The sequence below is a fragment of the Homo sapiens genome, chromosome 12 (genome assembly GCF_000001405.40).
Source record: "Homo sapiens chromosome 12, GRCh38.p14 Primary Assembly".
NCBI lineage: Eukaryota > Metazoa > Chordata > Mammalia > Primates > Hominidae > Homo > Homo sapiens.
Genome location: NC_000012.12, coordinates 79,569,988 through 79,593,448, shown reverse-complemented (window position 1 = coordinate 79,593,448; position 23,461 = coordinate 79,569,988). Strand labels below are relative to the sequence as shown.

General features: G+C 38.0%; 1 protein-coding gene across 3 annotated transcripts in view; it reads left to right on the top strand.

Annotated features, from left to right (window-relative positions):
* The window catches only part of PAWR (pro-apoptotic WT1 regulator), a 106,086-nt gene extending 97,516 nt beyond the window's left edge, over positions 1–8,570 (top strand). For all 3 annotated transcript variants that reach the window (NM_002583.4, NM_001354732.2, XM_047428916.1), the window contains one exon: positions 756–8,570. In NM_002583.4, the coding sequence (NP_002574.2) occupies positions 756–842 (87 nt within the window). In that variant the 3' untranslated portion in view covers positions 843–8,570. The remainder of the gene's footprint in view (positions 1–755) is intronic.
* Positions 8,571–23,461: the final 14,891 nt, after the last annotated feature.

Genomic DNA, 23,461 nt, shown 5'->3' with positions numbered 1-23,461 from the left:
ATTTGTTTTAACCAGATGGTTGTGTGTTTGGGACAAGGATTAATACAGGGAAAAAAGAGCTGGATCATATGCTTTTAAAGCTGGAGAGCGAATACTTAATTTAGTGGCTTTGAATTAATTTTAGCTCTAAAACCTTTCCTTCAAAATGTCGTAGAAAAGTCCAACATACAAATTGATCTGGAGCTGAAAACAAAATTGATCCAGATCAAGATACTCCAGATCCCCTTTTCCGTAGGCCTCAGTTTTGTCACCTCTCCAGAGTGTTATCCCCATTGTACACCTTTAAAGATCAGACAGTGGTAGGAGTGCATCTAGAACTTGTACCTGCACCTTTTGATGACTAATTTGACACAAGGTTGCAACCTAGGGCTCAATACCATATATGGCTTGCATGGGTAGTTTTTTTTTTTGCCTCAGTTTTAGGGAGGGGAAGTGGAGTTTGTTTAGCTAAAAAACTAACTTATTTATGATGATTGAAAATTGGAAGATTCACAATTTTAAAATTCTGACTTTCGGCTTCCTTTGAAAAACTGAAAGATCTGTAAGAGTTGGCCTATACACTTGTTGTAAGAACGAAGAGTCAAGTAATGGATGCTCTTTTTTGGTGGGGCATATTACATCTAAAGTTGTTTTCAGAGCTTGCCCTCATTTCAAAATTAATTGGTTGTATGAATTATTTTTAATGTGTATTAAGTGTTTTCATCTCTCCTCAAATATTTTTAAGTATTTTTAAAGTGTCTTTTTTTTTTCTTAAGGACCTAGATGACATAGAAGATGAAAATGAACAGCTAAAGCAGGAAAATAAAACTCTTTTGAAAGTTGTGGGTCAGCTGACCAGGTAGAGGATTCAAGACTCAATGTGGAAAAAATATTTTAAACTACTGATTGAATGTTAATGGTCAATGCTAGCACAATATTCCTATGCTGCAATACATTAAAATAACTAAGCAAGTATATTTATTTCTAGCAAACAGATGTTTGTTTTCAAAATACTTCTTTTTCATTATTGGTTTTAAAAAAGCATTATCCTTTTATCTCACAAATAAGTAATATCTTTCAGTTATTAAATGATAGATAATGCCTTTTTGGTTTTGTGTGGTATTCAACTAATACATGGTTTAAAGTCACAGCCGTTTGAATATATTTTATCTTGGTAGTACATTTTCTCCCTTAGGAATATACATAGTCTTTGTTTACATGAGTTCAAATACTTTTGGGATGTTACCTTCACATGTCCTATTACTGATGTGTGCAACCTTTTATGTGTTGATGACTCACTCATAAAGGTTTTTGTCTACTGTCATTTGTTCTTTCCACTTATTCTAAGCATTTAGAGTAATAGAGTCATACTTTTTTATAACAGCAACCTTTTAAAAGGAAAGCTCTTATAAAGTCACTGTCATGTTTTAGTTGACTAAATATAAATTTAAGAGAATACTTGAATTGTGCTATAGTAAATAAAAATTTACTATTTTGTGTTTGAATATTGAAAAATTGAATCACTTTAACTCCTGAAAAACATACAATTGTAATTTCAATGTAAAATTTCTTATGTAGGTACTACCTTTTTTTATCGTTCCAAGGTTTGCTAGTGAACACAGGATATTTTAAAAGTTTTTTATTCTTCGGGCCTGGAAAGTGTACAAAGTCAGTGTAGGAGAAAAAAATCCATATTTTTATATTAGCATGCACACTAAAAACCAAAATATTATTCATACTTAAAACATTCATACAAAACAATATGTAAGCAGAAATAGTACTAAAATACTTTGCCTAATTTCTAAGTTGAAGAATAACACTGGGACACAGTTTTTTCATATGAGAGAATATTCCGCTATTTCAAATTTAAGGGATTTTCTTCCTAACATTGAAATTTTAAAAACAGAGTTACTTCTAAATAATTATACAGATTTTTTCTTCTATTAAATATTATTATTTAGAATTGTTTTTGTATTACATATTCATGTTAAGAACCCCGTCTTCCCTTAAAATACATTAAAATTATGACATTTTTGCTTTGTGATTGAATTTCAAATAGCAGTATGGTATCCTTTTATCTAGTTAATATATGAAAGTGGCTTGAATATAGTCAAATCCATTTTAGGTACTCTACTGACTTTTTCCTTCACTTGCCAAGCCCTTTTATTGTTCACTGTTAGAAAAATAGAGAAGGTGAGACAGCTGGGGGAAAATGTGGAGTAAATGATAATCAAATGTTGAATTCTAAAAGTCTCTACATTTACCTAGGTTGGCTTTCTCCCCCAGTTCAGAAGTTTCCAGCTTGGCCAATCATCAGAATCACTTGAGGAACTTAGAAAGAACTCCCTGGCTGTAGCTCCTATGTAGGTTTAGGTTGAGACTCTGGATTCCACAATTTTTAAAGGTTACCATCTGAGGTTTCTGATCATAGTCTACTTTTGAAGCAGCTGCTGCTGTTTCTTTATTCCATTGAACACCCTGGAATTGACATAATTTTATCTATCAGCATTTCTCCCCTTTTAGTTTATTTAATAATTAACCCGGTCTCCAGGGCAGTTTTCATATGACCATGTGTATATTCACTGCTCACGAAAAAGTTTAATGTTAGATTACCAAATTTAATATAGTTACAGAATTACTGCATAAGGGCTTCCCTTCTTGGAGACTCTTACCCAGCATGGGAACAGTGATCTGCCCACATGACAGGGTGGTATGCCAGGCATAGTTAACTGCTTTTGGTTGTGAGGTACTCATCTTCCTTTAGTTACCCTTAGTTATGTGGCACACATGTCCTTATTGCCTAGTTCGTCATCCACACTTTGGATCTTGTGAAAATGCTGTTAGTATCCAACCTTAAAATATATTAGTATATGGGTTTTTATTAAAAGAATTACTTTGAATTTTCTATTTAATTCATATGTAAATAAAGGAACATTTCATTTCACTTAAAAAAATTATATCAGTTATTAGGCTGGGTGCAGTGGCTCATGCCTGTAATCCCAGCACTTTGGGAGGCCAAGGCGGGTGGATTACCAGAGTTCGGGAGTTTGAGACCAGCTTGACCAACATGGAGAAACCCCGTCTCTACTAAAAATACAAAATTAGCCAGGTGTGGTGGCGCATGCCTGTAATCCTGGCTACTCAGGAGGCTGAGGCAGGAGAATCGCTTGAAAACCCAGGAGACAGAGGTTGCGGTGAGCTGAGATTGCGCCATTGTACTCCAGCCTGGGCAAGAAGAGCGAAACTCTGTCTCCAAAAAAAAAAAAAAAAAAATTATTAATACTTTTAAAGACTGAGCTGTTTAAGAATTTTTTGGGGAACATTTCTAGCAGTGATTTTTTTGGCCTTTAATGATAGCGTAAAGACAGGAGCCTTACAACTTAGGCAAAGCATTTCACATGCAGTCCTTCTTCCATCTCAAAATATGTACTTATTTTACATACAGAATTTTACACTAACCATTGAAAAATAAAGTAGGATCTGCTACAGTTTCACCTGAAAATTTATAAAAAGTGTTGAGATTGGTAGAAGGTAGTTTTTAAGTACATGTGCACTACCCTAAAAGACTTGTCTATTGTCAATAAAGTGTTAGTATTTGTGAAATTATTATTCCTGTTCAGAAATACTATTTCTTAAATCTCCTGGGAATTTGTGGCATAATAAAGCACATTCAAAGTTCTAATGTATTTATGAGCTCATTTTCAAAATAGTAAGTTTGTCATCTTTAAAATGAACATGACTTGCCTCCTTGATTTCTGAAATGAATTAATTGAAGATTGCTATAGTAATCTTTATTTCATCTTTCTAGAGTTGTTGACAATTTTATTATACAACAGTTACCATTAGAGAAGGAGGGAAGGGCTTTTGGGTGTGTATTTATAGGTACTAAGGGATTTACTAAATATAGTAGATTAGCACTGTCACACTTGTTCAAGTAGTTTCAAACATAGAAAATTAAGTATCAGGTATGTGGAGCAATGTAGTTTTTTTTTTTCTTCAGTTTAAAAAATTTTTAATTGTGGTAGAAGCAATGTATTCTTAAGGTGAAAAACCTACCTCGGTTACATGTGGTTTGTGTTTTTTGGATTAATCTGGATTTTATAATTAGAAATAAAAATGTAAGATTTTGAATCCACTTAATTTCTTGAAAATAGTACAAGTCAGTGTAATAGAGAAGCATTCATATATTCAACACTGTAAGACAAAACAGCAGAGACCTTGGATTTGATAATTGATCTGATATCCTGGACAGTATTCATATGTACAGTGATAGGTATCTTTCTTTGGAGTTTTTTTTTTGTGCATATGTGTATAGTTTTATGGGTTCTGAGTTGGTGACCAGTAAGTTGCATGTAGTGCTGGCACTTACTTAATAACTATTCATGATATTGTTAATAACTTGTTATAGGATTGTATTCCCAATTACAGTCTCTAAGATTGTAATTGATATTATCTGAGAGGTAGTGTGACAACTTTCTTTTGTTGTTACATTAAGCCGAAAACATAATACTAATAGACAACTAACAGTTTGCTTATCAGGCACATCAACTAAGGCACCTCCCCCCATGCTAAGTTTCTCCTGGATATATGGAAGTTGATTGTTTCCCAGTTTAAAAACTTGAACTAATATCTCCTAAGAAAATCTGAGTCCATATTGTTTTTATTTTACTTAGCTAGAATCTCATAGCATGTTAAAGTCATATCCTTATCCCCACTAAAAATAACTATGTCTATGTGAGAGGAATATAGTATGTGGGAGCTGTATTAAATACTATTACAGGTGTTACAGAATCTTTAAATAAATGGACATGGACCAACTTTCCATCTAGTAGTGTACGATCTATATAGTGCATGTCAGTAGCACAAAATGCAGTCTTAGCATTAGCCTGTCTAATCTGAATAGTTTACTCAAAAGTACTTCTTTGTGTTAAGTATTCAGCCACTGTTTTTAGATCTAGTTAATAGGTTCTATTTAATTTGCTACAACATTTACTGAATGGTGGAGTGAAAAAACTGATGCATACTGGGAAATATCTACCATTTTTTAAAGATAATGTTAATTAGGAAAAGAACACTTTTAAGGAATTTATAGCAGTGATGAAATGAATTCAGTTATATCAGATACACCAAACTGTTGATGGTATTTAAATGTGACTTCAAGTTAGTATTTCTGTATATATTATTGATTACTGGTTTGTTTTTAGATATGTAAGTCTGTTCTAATCTACAGTTCACATATCGACAGTTACTCTGGTAATAATAGAATGTTAGTGATGATCACTTGGTGGATGTTGATTAAGTGCCTGTGTTTTGTTTCCTCCTCTGGATACCAAATAGGTGTATGCTACTTTTTTGGTGAACTTATTTCTTGGAAGATTTGGCTATGCTATTCAGGGTTTTTATTCTTATGTTTTTCTTCTAAATTTAAGTAGCATCCTGCTGCTACCATATTAAAGCTAAAATTTAACTTTTGCTGAAGAATCAGCTAATTCAGGTAATCCAAATATTTGTGGAAAAACATCTGGATAATTTATTGAACACATTAGTATTGTGTTAGACAGCTTTGATCATTCCCATTTCATAGGTTTTTATTGTGGAATAGTCAACTTAATATAGATTCACTTTCAATTTGCATGTATAAAGTAATACTCAATAAAATTTTTTTCATTTATTTTTCAACAGTGGTTATTTTTTTTCTTCCTGTACTATCAGTAAAATCCTGACTATGAGTTTTACTTTTGAAGCTAAAGGATAATGCTGGTAATCTAATTATGTACCTCTTACAGAAACCATATGCAGCACTTTAAAAATCTTTATTTGGTATATTATTTTAGGTGGACAATGATTTAAGACTCAAAGCCATCATATTAAGGTCTAAATACATTAGTGGTGGGGTTTCTCGAATAAATGAGGAAGTGCACAAAAGTTCAGCCTGACTGAAAATTTTAATTGTGTTTTAAAACTACATGAATAATTTCTTGATTCAAAATCAGAACTCTTATAAACTAAATCTGATGGTGTCCAAAGAATTTCAGGTCCTTCAAAGTTTGTAAAAGATAAGTAGGGGCCTAGGAATATAAAAATTTAGACTTTTTTAGTAAATGGTTTACATAACCTTTTGTCTTAATTTGTCATTCTTCATACACAGGCACAAGCTAATCAGTCTTCTCTACTTCTAGAACTCTAAATCTTCTCAGTAATGTCATACAAGTCTAACAAGAGGAAAAGCATCCTTAAGTCAGTCTATTTAGATAAACTCTTCAAGTCCCTATATAAGGACGTATTCCACTAGCAAGCCAGTAAATTTTTCCAAGGTCACATAATCTTACATGAAATGGAACCTTTCATCTTAGACTTCATCAAACTCAATTTTTTCCCTTCTAGATTCACTTTGTGTTTATGCATGCATGCACGCGTGCACACAATTCTATCAGCAGCTGTAAACTACCCACATATTTTCTTAATCTCATTTTTTCAGTTTTTCTTCATCTTTAAAAGAGGTTACATTTCATTCCTGGTCAACTCTTAAAAAGAATTATGTAATGTTGGGCCTTCATATTAAAGAGAGAGACTGGTTATAAGATCCTTTACAGTCCATTCATTTTATTCTGATGTCTAACCAGATAGACACTAGCAAGCAAAACTTCCCTCTTAATCCTGGACCAAATGCATAATTTTACTGTCACTTTCAAAAATCTGTTATGACTGAATCAAAATCCTTTTAAAGAAAGGAAAAAGCTCCTTTTGTGTCAAATAGTTGAACAACATGAAAACAGTATGAGCCGGTTAAAGATAGATTGAATTTTTACTTTACACATATGAAAAACAGTAAGTTTTGACTGCTGTGTATGTTATTCATGTTAATATGTGCTCAGTTATTCACTATTGTTAATCCACATATAATCAGTTGCTATCCCTGGTTAGACACACTATGGAACTTGAAATGCACAATATTTACATTGTTAGAGGCTTCTATCCAAATATCTGCATTCCTTTAAAATGTGAACTATTTGCTGTGATTAACCAAAGGTAGATTATGTCATCAGTGGACATTTTAGCTTTATGGAAACAAATTATTAAGAAATGAATAGAAAGGTGTCTTTTTCTTTGTGTAGTGCAAAAGCCTAAAGCTATCAGTCAAAGGCCTAAGAAATCCACATTTGAAAAACGTAAATCATGATTGGTAAGAATACATTCATCTGATAGTATTGAGAAAAGTTGAAAAACTGTTAGCCTTCCATAACACATTAAACATTTTATGTATGGATGGCTGAAAGTATTGAGAAAAGCTGAAAAACTGTTAGCCTTCCATAACACATTAAACGTTTTGTGTATGGATGGCTTAGGACAATAAACAACATCATTAAAGTAAAATTATGTCAGTCTGTTCATATTAACTTATTTAAATCAATGAAAATTTTGATGAGATGACTAAATGGATGCTTTGGAAATGCAGGATTATAGGAGGCCTAAAAGTGCATCTTGTTTCTTGTAACCCTTTTAAAACCAATATGCCTGGCTAGGTGCAGTGGCTCATGCCTGTAATACCAACGGGGTAACACAGGGTTATGCCGTCTATACAAAAAAATAAATGAGCTGGGCAAGATGGCATGCACCTGTAGTCCCAGCTGCTTGGTAGGCTGAGGGGGAAGGATTGCTTGAGCCTGGGAGGTCGAGACTGCAGTGAGCCAAGATCACACCACTGCACTCCAGCCTGGGTGACAGAGCAAGACTCTACCTCAAAAATAAAAATAATCAATATAGTTTCAATGAAGCAAAGCATCTCAGGTAACAATTTGAGCATAACTTTAACCATAACTTATGATAGCATAATAACATTCATTAGTAATTCAGTAGCCGTATGTGCCAGGCTGTGTTAGGTGCTTTATATATTGTTTAATTTTTAAAAACTTGTGGAGTGTACAGATTGGTAAGGTGACATTGTATCACAAAGCTAGTCTTTGAGTCCAAAGTTTTGTGGTTTTATGTTATGATATACTTTTATCATGGAATTGTCTTATTAAATGTTTTGCCAGTGGTTCTTAAAGTGTGTTTCTGACACCAGTAGCATTGACTTCACTTAGAAACCTGTTAGAAATACAAATTATTTGGCCCCACCCAACACTTGAGTCACAAACTTTGCAGATGGGGCTCAATCTGTTTTAACAAGCGCTTCATGTAATTTTGATGCAGGCCTAAGTTTTTGAGCCACTGCAGTATGCATTTCTATTTTTAAGCAAAGATCTTGGTCTTTCTTTTTGGACATTGTAGAAATAACATGAACTTGTTTTTTGTTTGTTTTTGTTTTGTTTTGTTTTAAGCTCCTGATCTTTGTTGGTTATGTTGCAAAAGATTGTATCAGGAGAAGCCTCAGCATGGACATTGGCATCCTGACATAACCCCCATTAATTTAGTATTCTTTCTGAAACTCAAATGGATTCTCAAGTCCAAGAGACTATGGAATAAAATCATTGTTTGTCTGTGTTAAGTTTTATCTCTGTTATTGCCTGAAGACTTTTGGTAACAATAATGCGCTTTCATCAAACTTTTAAGACTTGATTGGAAAAAATAAATGTATGTTTCATCAGTTATACAATTTGTTTTGTATGTGTTTTGTATGGGTGGTCCCTGAGGAGCCTGAATCTTCAAAATATACTTTCTGTGAGCTCAGAAAATGAATAGCACTTTTGAGCTAATTGATCAGTGTGGAGAAATCACAGTGTTGCATCCTGATGAGTAAAGATAAAATTGACTCTTTATCGATTCAAGATCATTTTTTATATAAATAAATAAGCTACTCCTGTTTACTTTTTACAAACTTGAGAACAGTTTTAGATTTATAAAGTTATTGTGAAGATAGTACAGAGGGTTCTCATATGCCACCACACCAAGTTTCTCCTACTAACATCATACATTAATACTGTGCATTTATCACAGTTAATCGTCCAATATTTATGCACGATTATTAAAGTCCATACTTGATTCAGATTTCCTAAATTTTCCCCTAATGTCCTTTCTCTTTTCCAGTGTCCAGTCCAGGATACTACATTATATTTAGTACCTGTGTCTCCATAAAATTCTCTTGGCTGTGACAGTTTCTTAGATTTTCCTTGTTTTTGATGCCCTTGACAGTTTTTAGTTCTGGGCAGGTATTTTTCACTTTACTATGGATATTTCAGATACACAGAAAAGTACAGAAAATCGCTAGCAATATCCTGCTAATTTTTTGTTATCTGTCCTGCTTCCTTTTTCTTTTTTGTTGGGGTGTTTTAAAGTTAAACTCCAATTATCCTTTCACCTGCAGATACTTCAGTATATATCTCTAATAGTAAGAATTTAAAAGAATAACCACAATGTTATACCTAACAAAATTAATATTAATTATTTAATATCATCTGTTTACTTTGGGTTCCCTAAGAAGCAGGCATGCATGAGATTTATTGGGGGAAAACACTTGTGAAGAAAATTGGAGAGGGAGCTAGAGGAGGTTGAGAAAAGTGTCAGAACTTGATACAGGTCTGCCTGGTGAAGGGGAGAGGAGGATAGTTGGACAGGAAGTCTTAATCCATAGTTGTTTTAGTCCATTTGTATTGCTATAAAGGAATACCTGAGGTAATTGAGAAAGAAGTTCATTTGGCTCATGGTCTGCAGGTTGTACAAGAAGTATGGTGCTAACATCTGCTTCAGGTGAGGGCTTCAGGCCGCTTCCACTCACAGTAGAAGAGGAAGGGGAGCCAATGTGTCACATGGCAAGAGAGGATGGAAGAGAGTGGGAAAAGCAGGCCTTAATGCCCTTTTAAACAACCAGCTCTCATGAACTAGAGTGAGAACTCATTACCTTGAGCATGGCACCAAGCTGTTTATGAAGCATCTGCAACCATGACCGAGACACCTGCCACTAGGCCCTGTCTCCAACATTGGGAATAAAATTTCAACATGAGATTTGGAGGAGGTCAAACTACATCAGTAATTCTAAAAAAGTTTTAACGAGGCTGTTTGGGAGTCCTCAAACCAAATGTTCCCGCTCCTGAGCAGTCTCACATCTTGTAGTAATGGGCCTGCCATTGTAATCCTGCAATGCTCATTTGTTGGCACGGAGCAGCCAGTAGGAAGTGTGCCCTCAGCTGAATACCATGGTGGATTCAGACCACAGTGACTGGAACTGCCCGTCAATTACCCACCCTGAAGCTGGAGATCTGAGAGGTCCATTTTTTTTATGACTGTCACATCATCTAATACTTTGTGTTCAGATTTCCTCCAGATGCCTCTAAAATTGTCCTTTCAGTGTTGGTTAAGGATCCAAATGAGAGTCAACTATTGCATTTTATTAGTGTGTCTCTTGAGTCTTTTAACCTATAAATTATCCCTTCTTCCCCATTCTTAGACCATTTTTCAAATTGAAGAAATTAGATCATTTGCTCTACAGAATTTCCCACATTCTGGATTTCACTGTATCTATGGTATTAATGTATCCCTCTATCAACCTCTATTTTTTGGTAATTGTTAGATGTGACACCTTTATTAGATTCAATAGGTGGTGAGTGCTTCCGACTGATTCACATCAGAGGATGCATAATGTCTGGTTGTCTCACTTTTAATGATGTTAATATTGATAAGTAGATTCAGATGCTATCTTTATTGCTCTATTTGAAAGCTCCCCATCAACCTTTTGTGTAATAATTTTATCAAACATTAATGATTATTGCCCACATCCATTATATCTTTAGGTATTTCAAAGTGATAGTTTTCTAATTCTGTGATTAATTTACATGAGTAGTTGGAGTTCTTTAGAGAAACTTTTCTCATCAACTGCTTGGTTTCCCTAAAATACAAGAAAGATAAAATCATACTGATTCTTTACTAATTTTATAATAATGGGCTATAGCTTAGTAACCTCCAGAGGTAAGTAATGAGTTTATTTATTTCATGAGCTTTACTCCATTGCAGTAATTATTTTTTTATGTCCAAATCGTCTCATCTTTGGCCAGTGGAAGCCCCTTCAAGTTGGTTCCTGTATCATTTTGGTTATCAATAACTTCCTTGTTTTCTGGCATAAGACGTTCCAATCTCGTCTTGTACATTTTGTTTTCAGGACCTCCAGGTTACCTTCTTTTGCAGGTAATTAAAGCCTGATAACCATCTAAATTATTAGATGGTATAAAAAACAAGAGGGCATTTATGGAGTTGTTGTTGTTGTTGTTTTTGAGACAGAGTCTTGCTCTGTCGTCCAGGCTGGAGTGCAGTGGCACAATCTCAGTTCACTGCAACCTCCGCCCCGCAGTTCAAGCATTTCTCCTGCCTCAGCCTCCCGAGTAGCTGGGACTACAGGTGCCCACCACCACACCTGGCTAATTTTTGTATTTAGTAGAGACAGGGTTTCTCCATGTGTCAAGCTGGTCTTGAACTCCTGACCTCAGGTGATCCACCCAACTGAGCCTCCCAAAGTGCTGGGATTACAGGCATGAGCCACTGCACCTGGCCCATTTATGGAGTTCTTAACTGTAAAGTCTGTAAGGACTTTGAAATATTTTCCAACTTGTACTTTCTTTTTTTTTTTTTTTTTGAGACTGTCTTGCTCTGTTGCCCAGGCTGGAGTGTGGTGGTACTGTCTCAGCTCAGTGCAACCTCCGCCTCCTGGGTTCAAGCACTTATCCTGTCTCAACCTCCAAAGTAGCTGGAATTACAGGTGCCTGCCACCGCGCCTGGCTAACTTTTGTATTTTTAGTAAAGACGGGGTTTCACCATGTTGGCCAGGCTGGTCTTGAACTCCTGACCTCAGGTGATCTGCCCGCCTTGGCCTCTCAAAGTGCTGGGATTACAGCCTCCAACTTGTACTTTCACTGCATATTTAAGGTGACAGAAATATGCTTGTTTCTTTGCCTTCTTAAAATTTATTTTCTCACTTACATTCTGTGCAAGACAGCAGATCATAGACATATAGTTGGCTCTATATATCCATGGATTTTCAATCTATGGATTCAACCAACCATAGATGGAAAGTATTAGGAAAAAATTAAAATTACAACAGTTAAAAAAAGATACACATTTAAAAATACAGTGTAACTATTTACAGAGCATTTACATTGTATTAGGTATTGTAAGTAATCTAGGGCTGATGAAGTATGCAGGAGGATATGCATAGGCTATATGCAAATACTACACAGATAATTGGTATTCATAGGTATCCATAGGGGATCCTAGACCCAATCCCCCAAAGATACTGAGGGACGACTGACTCTATGTTGATTTTTTTTTTTTTTGAAAATTCAAATCTATACATGTATGTTAGGAACTTCAGGAGATTGACTATAAAAAGCAAGACTTTTTTTAGTAGTTGTGTTCAAATTAGGTAGTAGCCACATAACTATGTAAAAATTTATAGATATTCATTAGGTGTGAAAGGACATCAGAACTATGTAAATTAAATACATAATTTAAAAAGTGATGCCCAAATTGTGCTCCTGATTAGATACTTCATCTCTAGCCACATCTGAGTGAAGGTCTGTGTGGAGGTGCCAGTCATTGGTAAGTTTTCACAGCTGGTTGTGAGGCAGTCCTGATGAGGAAAGTGTTGGTTGATGGCTCAAAACAGGCTGTGAAGTTGCCCTTTTGACTGATGGAACCACCAGGACCCTCTGCAGTGCTTGGAATAAAGCCCAGTTACTGGCAGCCATCACCTGGGACGCCACTTCATAATTCTGGCAAAACCCTTCCTCTGCTCCCTGAGTACCTCCATCCAAAAGGAAGGGTCCACTGTTTTCTTCCAGAATGTGGAAAGCAACTGAAGCCTAAAATTCTTGCATTTTGTCTTTTGTATTGGTTCACAAATACTTATTGTGTGCCTACTTTTTGCTCTGTTCTAGGTACTAGGAACATAGTAGTGAACAAAAAAATCCTAGCCAACACCATTTTAATTTTTAGTTACCCAATGAAAGAGTGTTGACACAGAATTGAGGACTGGTTGTTAGAATGTTCTTTGATCCTTTCCAAAAGATGAGAATTGAACTCCACTTGTTTTTTGACAGAGATGGTGTCAATACATGTCATGGGTAATAATTTGTGATGAAAAAATTATGCTGATAGGTCTAATGTTTGGAAAAGACAGATTTATTCCCTTAATCTTTAGAAATTGAGAATGGGGATTTGGGGCACAAATTTATGTTTCCATTAATTTTTGTTAAATGAATTTTATTACTTTATTTGCACAAATACATGGAGTGCATTTGAAATTTTGTTATGTGTTTATAATACATAGTGATCAAGTCAGGTTATTTAGAGTGTCCATCACCTAAGTACAATACTTTTGTCTTAACTACAGTCAGTTTACTCAGCTATCAAACATTGAATTTATTCATTTTGTCTAACTTTATTTTTGTATTCTTTAAGCCACTTCTCTTTAATCTCTTTCCTCCCCCTCACCCTTCCCAGTCTCTAGTATCTTTCCATTCTCTATCTGCATGTGATCAAATTTTGTAGCTTCCACATATAAGTGAAAGTGTGCACTTTTTCTTTCTTTGTGCCTGGTTTATTTCACTTAACATAATGACCTCCAGTTTCATCCATGTTCCTGCAAATAACATGATTTTTTTCTTTTTTATGGTTGAATAATTTTCCATTGTGTATATATGCCACATTTTCTTTATCCATCTATTCATTGATGGACTCTTAGGTGGATTCTATATCTTTGCTATTGTGAATAGTGCTACAAAAAACATGTGAGTGCAACTATTGCTTTGATATATTGATTTCTTTTCCTTTAGTAGATACCTAGCAGTGGGGTTGCTGGATGAAATGGTAATTCTACTCTTAGTATTTTGAGAATTCTTCATACTTGTTTTCCATAATGGCTGTGTTAGTTTATATTTCCACCAACAGTGTATAAGAGTTCCCTTTTCTCTGCATCCTTGCTAGCATCAGATATTTTGTCTTTTTAATAATAACCATTCTGACTGGGGTAAGATGATACCTCATTTTGGTCTTGTTTTGCATTTCCCTGATGATTAGTGATGTTCAGCATTTTTTTATATACCTATTGGCTATTTGTATAACTTCATTTGAGAAATGTCTAGTCATGTCCTTTGCCCAATTTTTTATGGGATTATTATTATTTATTACTGTTATTTGAGTTCCTCATATATTCTGGATATTAGTCCCTTGTCAGATGAATAGTTTTCAAATATTTTCTCCATTCAACATGTTATCTCTTCACTTAGTTGATTGTTTCCTTTGTTGTGCAGAAGCTTTATAGTTTATAGTCCTATTTGTCTATTTTTGTTTTGTTGTTTGTGCTTTTGAGGTCTTAGCTCTAAAATCTTTATTTAGATCAATATCCTTGACATGATTTGGGTCTGTGGCCTTACCCAAATCTCATATCAAATTGTAATCCCCACATGTTGAGGGAGGACCTGGTGGGAGGTGATTGGATCATAGGGGCAGATTCTCCTCTTGTTGTTCTCACGGTAGTGAGTTCTCAGGAGATCTGGTTGTTTGGTAAGTATCTGGCGCTCCCTGCCCTCCTGCCACCATGTAAGATGTGTCTTGCTTCCCCTTCGCCTTTCACCTTGATTGTAAGTTTCCTGAGGCCTCCGGAACTTTGAGCCAATTAAACCTCTTTCCTTTATAAATTACTCAGTCTCGGTATCTTTATAGCAGCGTGAGAAAGGATTAATACAGTCCTGAAGTGTTTTCCTTATGTTTTCTTATAGTAGTTTTATAGTTCCGGGTCTTGCATTTAAGTCATTAATCCATCTTGAGTTGGTTTTGTATGCGGCGAGAGATAGGGGTCCTAGTTTATTCTTCTGCATCTGGTTATTCAATCTTCCTAGCACCATTTATTGAAGAAATGTCCTTTCCCCATTGTAAGTTCTTGTTAGCTTTGTCAGTTGACTGTAAACATTTAGCTTTATCCCATTTGTGGGTTCTCACTTCCGTTCCATTGGTCTATGTGTCTGTTTGTATACCGATACCATGTTGTTTTGGTGACTGTACCCTTGTAGTGTATTTTAAAGTCAAGTAATGTGATACCTCCAGCTTTGTTCTTTTTGCTCAGGATTGCTTTGGCTATTCAGGCTCTTTTTTGGTTCCATATGAATTTTAGGATTGTGTTTTCTAATTCTGTGAAAAATGACATTGCTATTTTGATACAGATTGTATTGAATCTGTAGATTGCTTTGGGCAATATGGTCATTTTAATGATACTCTTCAGTCCTTGAATATGGTATGTTTTTCCATTTGTTTGTGTTACCAATTTTTTTCATCAGTGTTTTTTGTTATCACTGTTTTTAGAGACAGGGTCTAGCTCTGTTGCCCAGGCTGGAGTACAGTGGCATGATCATAGCTTACTGCAGCCTCAAACTCTTGGGCTCAAAGTGATACTACCATCACAGCCTCTCTAGTAGCTAGGACTGCATCAGTGTTTTGTAGTGTTTTTTTTTTTTTTTCTTATTTGAGATGGAGTTTCACTCTTGTTGTCCAGGCTGGAGTGCAATGCTGCGATCTTGGCTCACTGCAATCTCTGCCTCCTGGGTTCAAGCTATTCTCCTGCCTCAGCCTCCCAAGTAGCTGGGATTACATACTGCCTTGGTCTCCCAAAGTGCTGGGATTACAGGCGTGAGCCCCACTGTGCCTGGCCTGTAGTTTTCCTTTACAGAGATCTTTCACCTCCTTGCTTAAATTTATTCCTAGGCATTTCATCCTTTTGTGTGTGTGTGTGTGTTTCTATTGTAAATGGGATTGCCTTCATTTCTGTCTTGGCTAGATTATTACTGGTGTATAGAAATGCAACTGATTTTTGTATGTTGATTTTGTATCCTGCAACTTTACTGAATTCATTTATCAAATTTAAGAGGTGTTTTTGGTGTAGTCTTTAGTTTGTTTTAGATACAAGATTGTATTATCAGCAAAGAGGAATCATTTGACTTTCCCTCTTCCAATTTGGATGCCTTTTATTATTTCCCTTGCATGATTGCTCTGGCTAGCACTTCCAGTGCTGTGTTGAATAGGAGTAGTGACTTGTTCTAATTAGGTTTTCCCCATTCAACACCATGTTAGGTATGGGTTTGTCGTGTCTGGTCTTTCTTATGTTGAGGCAGTTGAGGCATGTTGAATTTTACCAAATGCTTTTTCTGAAATCATTGTGAAGGTCATGTGGTTTTTGTTCTTCATACTGTTGATGTGATGTATCATGTTTATGGATTTGTGTATATTGAACCATCTTTGCTTGCATCCCTGAGATAAATCCTACTTGGTAATCATGTATTTTTTTGATGTGCTGTTGAATATGATTAGGTAGTACTTCATTGATAATCGTTGCATCTCTATATCAATATCAGGGATATTGGCCTGTAGTTTTCCTTTTTATTGTTACATCTTTGTCTGATTTCGAATCAGAGGGATGCTGGCCTCATAGAATGAGTTAGAATTCCCTTCTCTTCAGTTTTTGAAATAATATCAAGAGGACTTGTATTAGTTCTCATTTGTACATTTGGTATAATTCAGCTATGAATTCATGCAGTCTTGGGCTTTTCTTTTTTGGGAGACTTTTTATTGATAAAATCTCATTACTCATTCTTGGTCTGTTCAGGTTTTCTATTCCTGATTCTATCTTGATAGGCTGTGTGTTTTCAGGAATTTATCCATTTTCTCTAGGTTTTTCAGTTTGTCGGCATATATTTATTCATAGTCTCTGATGATCTCTTCTGTTTCTGCAGTATCACTTGTAGTGTTTCCTTTTTTATTTCTGATTTCGTATATTTGTTTCTTCTATCTTAGTTATTCTAGCTAGAGGTTTATAATGTTTAAGGAAAACCAACTTTTCATTATCTTTTGTGCTTTTTATTCTCTACTTCATTTATTTCTGCTGTAATCTTTATTATTTCTTTTCTTGTGTTAATTTTGAGTTTGGTTTGTGCTTGCTTTTCTAGCTCCTTGTGGTGCATTGTTAGATTGTTCATTTGTAATCTTTCTGCTGTTTTGATGTAGTTATTTATTACCACAAACTTCCCTTTTAGCACTGCTTTTACATATCTCACAGGTTTTGATAAATTGCATTTCCATTCTTATTTGTTTCAAGGCGTTAAAAGAAATTTCTGTTTTAATCTCTTCATTGACTCAGTTGTCATTCAGGAGCATGCTGTTTAATTTCCATGTATTTGTATAGTTTCCAGAGTTACTTTTGTTACTGACTTTTAGTTTTATTCTATTGTCTGAAAAGATACTTGGTATGATTTTGATTTTTAAAAATTTGTTGAGCCGGGCACAGTGACTCATGTCTGTAATCTCAGCACTTTGGAAAGCCAAGGTGGGTGGATCACCTGAGGTCAGGAATTTGACACCAGCCTGGCCAACATAGTGAAACCCCATCTCTACTAAAAATATAAAAATTAGGCCGGACGTGGTGGCTTACACCTGTAATCCCAGCACTTTGGGAGGCCGAGGTGGGCAGATCACGAGGTCAGGAGATTGAGACCATCCTGGCTAACGTGGTGAAACCCTGTCTCTACTAAAAATACAAAAAATTTGCCGGGCGTGGTGGCAGGCACCTGTAGTCCCAGCTACTCGGGAGGCTGAGGCAGGAGAATGGTGTGAACCCAGGAGGCGGAGCTTGCAGTGAGCCGAGATAGTGCCACTGCACTCAGCCTGGGTGACAGAGTGAGACTCCATCTCAAAAAAAAAAAAAAAAAAACCCAAAAACATATATAGATAGATAGATAGATAGATAGATAGATAGATAGATAGATTGATTAGCCAGGTGTGGTTGTGGGCATCTGTAATCCCAGCTACTTGAGAGGCTGAGGCAGGAGAATCACTTGAACCTGGGAGGTGGAGGTTGCAGTGAGCTCAAATCGAGCTGTTGCTCTCCAGCCTGGGCAACAGAGCGAAACACCATCTCTAAATCAATCAATCAATCAATCAATCAATCAATCGAGACTTGTTTTGTGGCCTAACATATGGTCTGTCCTGGAGAATGTCTCATATATATGAAAAGAATGTATATTTTGCAGTTTGGGGAATGTTCTGTAAATGTCTGTTAGGTACATTTGGTCTAATGTCCAATTTAAATCCACGTTTCTTTGTTGAATTTCTCTCTAGGTCATCTCTCTAATGCTGGGACTTAAATCTCGAAGTCCCCCACAATTGTGTTACAGTCTTTCTCTCTGTTTAGATCTAGTAATATTTGCTTTATGAATCTGGGTGCTCCTTGAGTTAGATGCATATATATTTAAAATTGTTATAACCTCTTGCTAGACTTATCCTTTTATCCTTACACAAAGACCTTTGTCTTTATTTACTGTTTTTGACTTAAAGTCGTTTTATCTGATACAAGTATAGTTATTCTTGCTTGCTTTTGAATTCTGTTTATGTAGAATATCTTTTTCCATCACTTTCAAACTGTTTCTTTAGTGCTAATGTGTCCGGAATTGGTGGGTTCTTCGTCTCACTGACTTCAAGAATGAAGCTGCGGACCCTCGCGGTGAGCGTCACAGTTCTTAAAGGTGGTGTGTCCGGATTTCGTTCCTTCTGATGTTCGGATGTGTTTGCAGTTTCTTTCTTCTGGTGGGTTCGTGGTCTCGCTGGCTCAGGAGTGAAGCTGCAGACCTTCACGGTGAGTGTTACAGCTCTTAAGGCGGCATGGCTAGAGTTGTTCGTTCCTCCCGGCAGGTTCGTGGTCTCACTGGCTTCAGGAGTGAAGCTGCAGACCTTCGCGGTGAGTGTTACAGCTCATAAAGGCAGTGTGGACCCAAAGAGTGAGCAGCAGCAAGATTTATTGAAAAGAGCAAAAAAACAAAGCTTCCACAGTGTGGAAGGGGACCGGAGCGGGTTGCCACTGCTGGCTTGGCCAGCCTACCTTTATTATCTTATCTGGCCCCACCCAAATCCTGCTGATTGGTCCATTTTACAGAGAGCCGATTGGTTTGTTTTACAGAGAGCTGATTGGTCTGTTTTGACAGGGTGCTGATTGGTATGTTTACAATCCCTGAGAGAGACACAAAAGTTCTCCACGTCCCCACTAGATTAGCTAGATACAGAGTGTTGATTGGTGTATTTACAAACCCTGAGCTAGATACAGAGTGCCGATTGGTGCATTCACAATCCCTTAGCTAGACAAAGATTCTCCAAGTCCCCACTAGACTCAGGAGCCTAGCTGGCTTTACCCAATGGATCTCGCACTGGGGCCACAGGTGGAGCTGCCTGCCAGTCCCGTGCTGTGCGCCCGCACTCCTCAGCCCTTGGGCGGTTGATGGGACTGGGCACCGTGGAGCAGGGGGTGGCACTCATTGGGGAGACTGAGGCTGCGCAGGAGCCCACGGCGGGTGGCAGGGGGAGACTCAGGCATGGCGGGCTGCAGGTCCCGAGTCCTGCCCCATGGGGAGGCAGCTTAAGGTCCGGCGAGAAATCGAGCACAGCAGCTGCTGGCCCAGGTGGTAATCCCGTCACTGCCTGGGGCCGGCCGGCCACTCTGAGTGCGGGGCCCACCAAGCCCATGCCCACCCGGAACTCGCGCTGGCTCGCAAGCACTGCACACAGCCCCGGTTCCTGCCCGCGCCTCTCCCTCCACACCTCCCTGCAAGCTGAGGGAGCTGGCTCCGGACTTGGCTGGCCCAGAAAGGGGCTCCCACAGTGCAGCGGCAGGCTGAAGGGCTCCTCAAGCATGGCCAGAGTGGGCGCCAAGGCTGAGGAGGCGCCGAGAGCAAGCGAGGGCTGCGAGGGCTGCCAGCACGCTGTCACCTCTCGCTAACATGAGTTTCTTGTAAGCAGCATAAAGTTGGATCATGCTTTTGCATTCATTCAGCTACTCTATATCTTTTAAGTGGAGAATTTAATCCATTTACCTTCAGGGTTATTATGTTCCTGTCATAATTGTTCATTGTTTTCTGGTGATTTTATATATTATTTTTCCTTTTTCTCTTATTGTTTGTCATTGTAGTTTGGTAGATTTTTCAAATGGGGCCATTTGAGTCCTTTCTCTTTCTCTTTTGTGTGACTGCTTTACCAGTGAGTTTCGTACGTGTGTGTGTGTGTGTGTGTGTGTGTGTGTATATATATATTTTTTTTTTTTTTTCGAGAGGGAGTCTCACTCTGTCACCCAGGCTGGAGTGCAGTGGCGCGATCTTGGCTCACTGAAACCTCCTCCCTCTGAGTTCAAGTGATTATCCTGCCTCAGCCTCCTGAAGTGCTGGGATTACAGGTGCCTGCCACCGCGCCCGGCTAATTTTTGGTATTTTTAGTAGAGATGGGGTTTCACCACCTTGACCCGGCTGGTCTTGAACTCCTGACCTCATGATCCACCCATCTTGGCCTCCCAAAGTGCTGGGATTACAGGCACGAGCCACTGCGCCCGGCCTGTACTTTTGCATATTTTCACAATGGTAAGTGGCATCCGTTCACTTCTAAGTTTGGGATTCCTTTGAGCATTTCTTGTAGTCTAGTGGTAATACATAAATTCTCTCAGCATTTGCTTGTCCAGAAAATACTTCATTTCTCCTTCATTTGTGAAGGATAATTTTCCTACATATAGTATCCTTGGCAGACAGTTTTGTCTTTTCAGCACTTTGAATATATTATCTCATTCTCTTCTTATGTATAAGGTTTCTGCAGAGGAATCTGCTGTAAGTTTGATGGGGTTTTCTTTAGAGGTGACTGGATGCTTTTCTTATGCTGTTTTTAGGATTTTTCTTTATCTTTGACTTTAGACAATCTGAGTACAATGTGACATGGAAGAAGAACTTTTTGCATTGTATCTACCTGGATATTCCTGAGGCTTCTGTATCTGAATATCTAAATCTCTTCCTTGACTTAAGCAATTTTCATCTATTATCTTGAAATTTGATTTCTTTCTTTCTTTTCTTTTCTTTTCTTTTCTTTTTTTTTTTTTTTTGAGATGCAGTCCACTCTTGCCCAGGCTGCAGTGCAGTGGCACAATCTTGGCTTACTGCAACCTCCACCTCCCAGGTTCAAGCTATTCTTCTGCCTCAACCTCCTGAGTAGCTGGGGACTACAGGCATGCACCATCACACCTGGGTAATTTTTGTATTTTTTGGTGGACATTGGGTTTTACCATGTTGCCTAGGCTGGTCTCGAATCCTGACCTCAAGTGATCCCCCCACCTCGGCCTTCCAGAGTGCTGGGATTACAGGTGTAAGCCACCTCTCCCAACCTAAATTTTCTTTCTTTCTTTTTTTTTTAACACGGCATTTTACTCTTGTTGCCCAGGTGATCTTGGCTCACTGCAGCCCCTACCTCTTGGGTTCAAGTGATTCTCCTGCCTTAGCCTCCCGAGTAGCTGGGATTACAGGCATGCACCACAATGCCCGGCTAATTTTATATTTTTAGTAGAGACAGGGTTTCTATATGTTGGTCAGGCTGGTCTCAAACTCCTGACCTCAGGTGATCTGACCGCCTCGGCATCCCAAAGTGCTGGGATTACAGGTGTGAGCCACCACACCTGGCCCTAAATTTGATTTCTTTATGTGGTCCCAAGTGTCACCTAGGCTTTGCTCATTACTTTTTATTATTTTTTCTTTTTTTTCCCCAACTGGATTATTTTAAAAGATTTGTTTTCAAGTTCTGAGATCCTTTCTTCTGCTTGACCTAGTTTATGGTTGAAGCTTTCTAATATGTCTTATATTTTCTTCAGTAAATTCTTCAATTCCAGAATTTCTGTATAGTTCTTTTTAAAAATTTCTATCACTTTGGTAAATTTCTCATTTATATCCTGAATTGTTTTTCTGGTTTATTTTGGTATTATTTTTCAGAATTGTCTTGTTTCTCACTGAGCTCTAAAATCAATATTTTGAATCTTTTATCTGGGATTTTGAATGTTTTTTTTTCTATTTCTGGAGTCAGAAAGAAAATTTTTTTGATTAAGAGGTATTGCTGGCTGGGCACAGTGACTCACGCCTGTAAGCCCAGCACTTTGGGAGGCCAAGGCAGGCAGATCACAAGGTCAGGAGATCGAGACCATCCTGGCCAACGTGTTGTAAAAATACAAAATTAATTTTGTAAAAATACAAAAATTAGCCCGGCATGGTGGTGTGCACCTGTAGTCCCAGCTACTCGGGAGGCTGAGGCAGGAAAATCACTTGAACCCAGGAGGCGGAGCTTGCAGTGAGCCGAGATCACACCACCACTGCACTCCAGCCTGGGTGACAGAGCGAAACTCCATCTCAAAAAAAAAAAAAAAAAAAAAAAGAAGGCTGGGCACGTTGGCTCACGCCTGTAATCCCAGCACTTTGGGAGGCCAAGGTGGGCGGATCACGAGGTCAGGAGATCAAGCCCATCCTGGCTAACATGGTGAAACCCCATCTCTACTAAAAATACAAAAAATTAGCTGGGCGTAGTGGCAGGCACCTGTAGTTCCAGCTACTCAGGTACTGAGGCAGGAGAGGTGGAGCTTGCACTGAGCTGATATCACGCCACTGCACTCCAGCCTGGGTGGCAGAGGGAGACTCCATCTCAAAAAAAGAGAGATATTGCTGGAGAATTATGATATTCCTTTGTAAGTGTCATATTCGTTTTTTCATGTTTCTTATGACCTTACATTTATATCTGTACATCTGCTGTAACAGTTGCTTTTTCCTATTTTTGAATTTCCTTTTTTTTTTTTTGAGATGGAGACTCACTCTGTTGCCCAAGCAGGAGTGCAGTGGCACGATCTTGGTTCCCTGCAACCTCCACCTCCCAGGTTCATGTGATTCTCCTGCCTCAGCCTCCCAAATAGCTGAGCTTACAGGTACGCACCACCACACCTGGCTAATTTTTATATTTTTAGTAGAGACAGGGTTTCACCATGTTGGCCAAGCTGGTCTTGAACTCCTGACCTCAGGTGATCTGTTTGTCTTGGCCTCCCAAAGTGGTGGGATTCCAAGGGTGAGCCACTGCACCCGGCCTGGATTTACTTGTGTAGGAGAGAATTTTTCCTTAAGATATATCTGTGGTGTTGGTTGTGTAGGGTAGTTTGGCTTTGATTTTTGATGTATGCAGTAGTGTACTCTCTGTGTTATTTCTTCAGCTATAAACAGCATTAGTAGTATCTGTGATTTCCTCTGTGGGTTAGTTTACTGTTATTAGTGAAGGCTGTGGTGAAGCTGTGTGCTGGGGACTGGGATGTCAAGTAAGCCAGTTTTCAGGCCTTAGTGGTAGCAGCAGTAGGTTGACTATGGCTATCTTTGTGTCCCAGGGTGTCGTACGCTGTCACTTGCGTTGGCAGTTACCAGTGGGCTGATTCTTGGTCTACCAGATGGCTTGTTTGTATTCCAGTAGTGGCAGCGGTGGACTAGGCAGGTGGGCAGATTTTCAGGCCCCTGAGCATTCAGCATTGTGTGGACAATGGCAGTAGCGGTGGCAGAACAATCTTCTGGGTCCTGAGCAGTTTCCTGTCTCTCGTTAGGAGTGTAGAGGTGAAATCAGGCTAGGTGGGCTTTTGCTGAAGTCCCCCAATGGTGAGAGTCGGCACCAGCCTTGGTGGACTGGAACCAGGTGA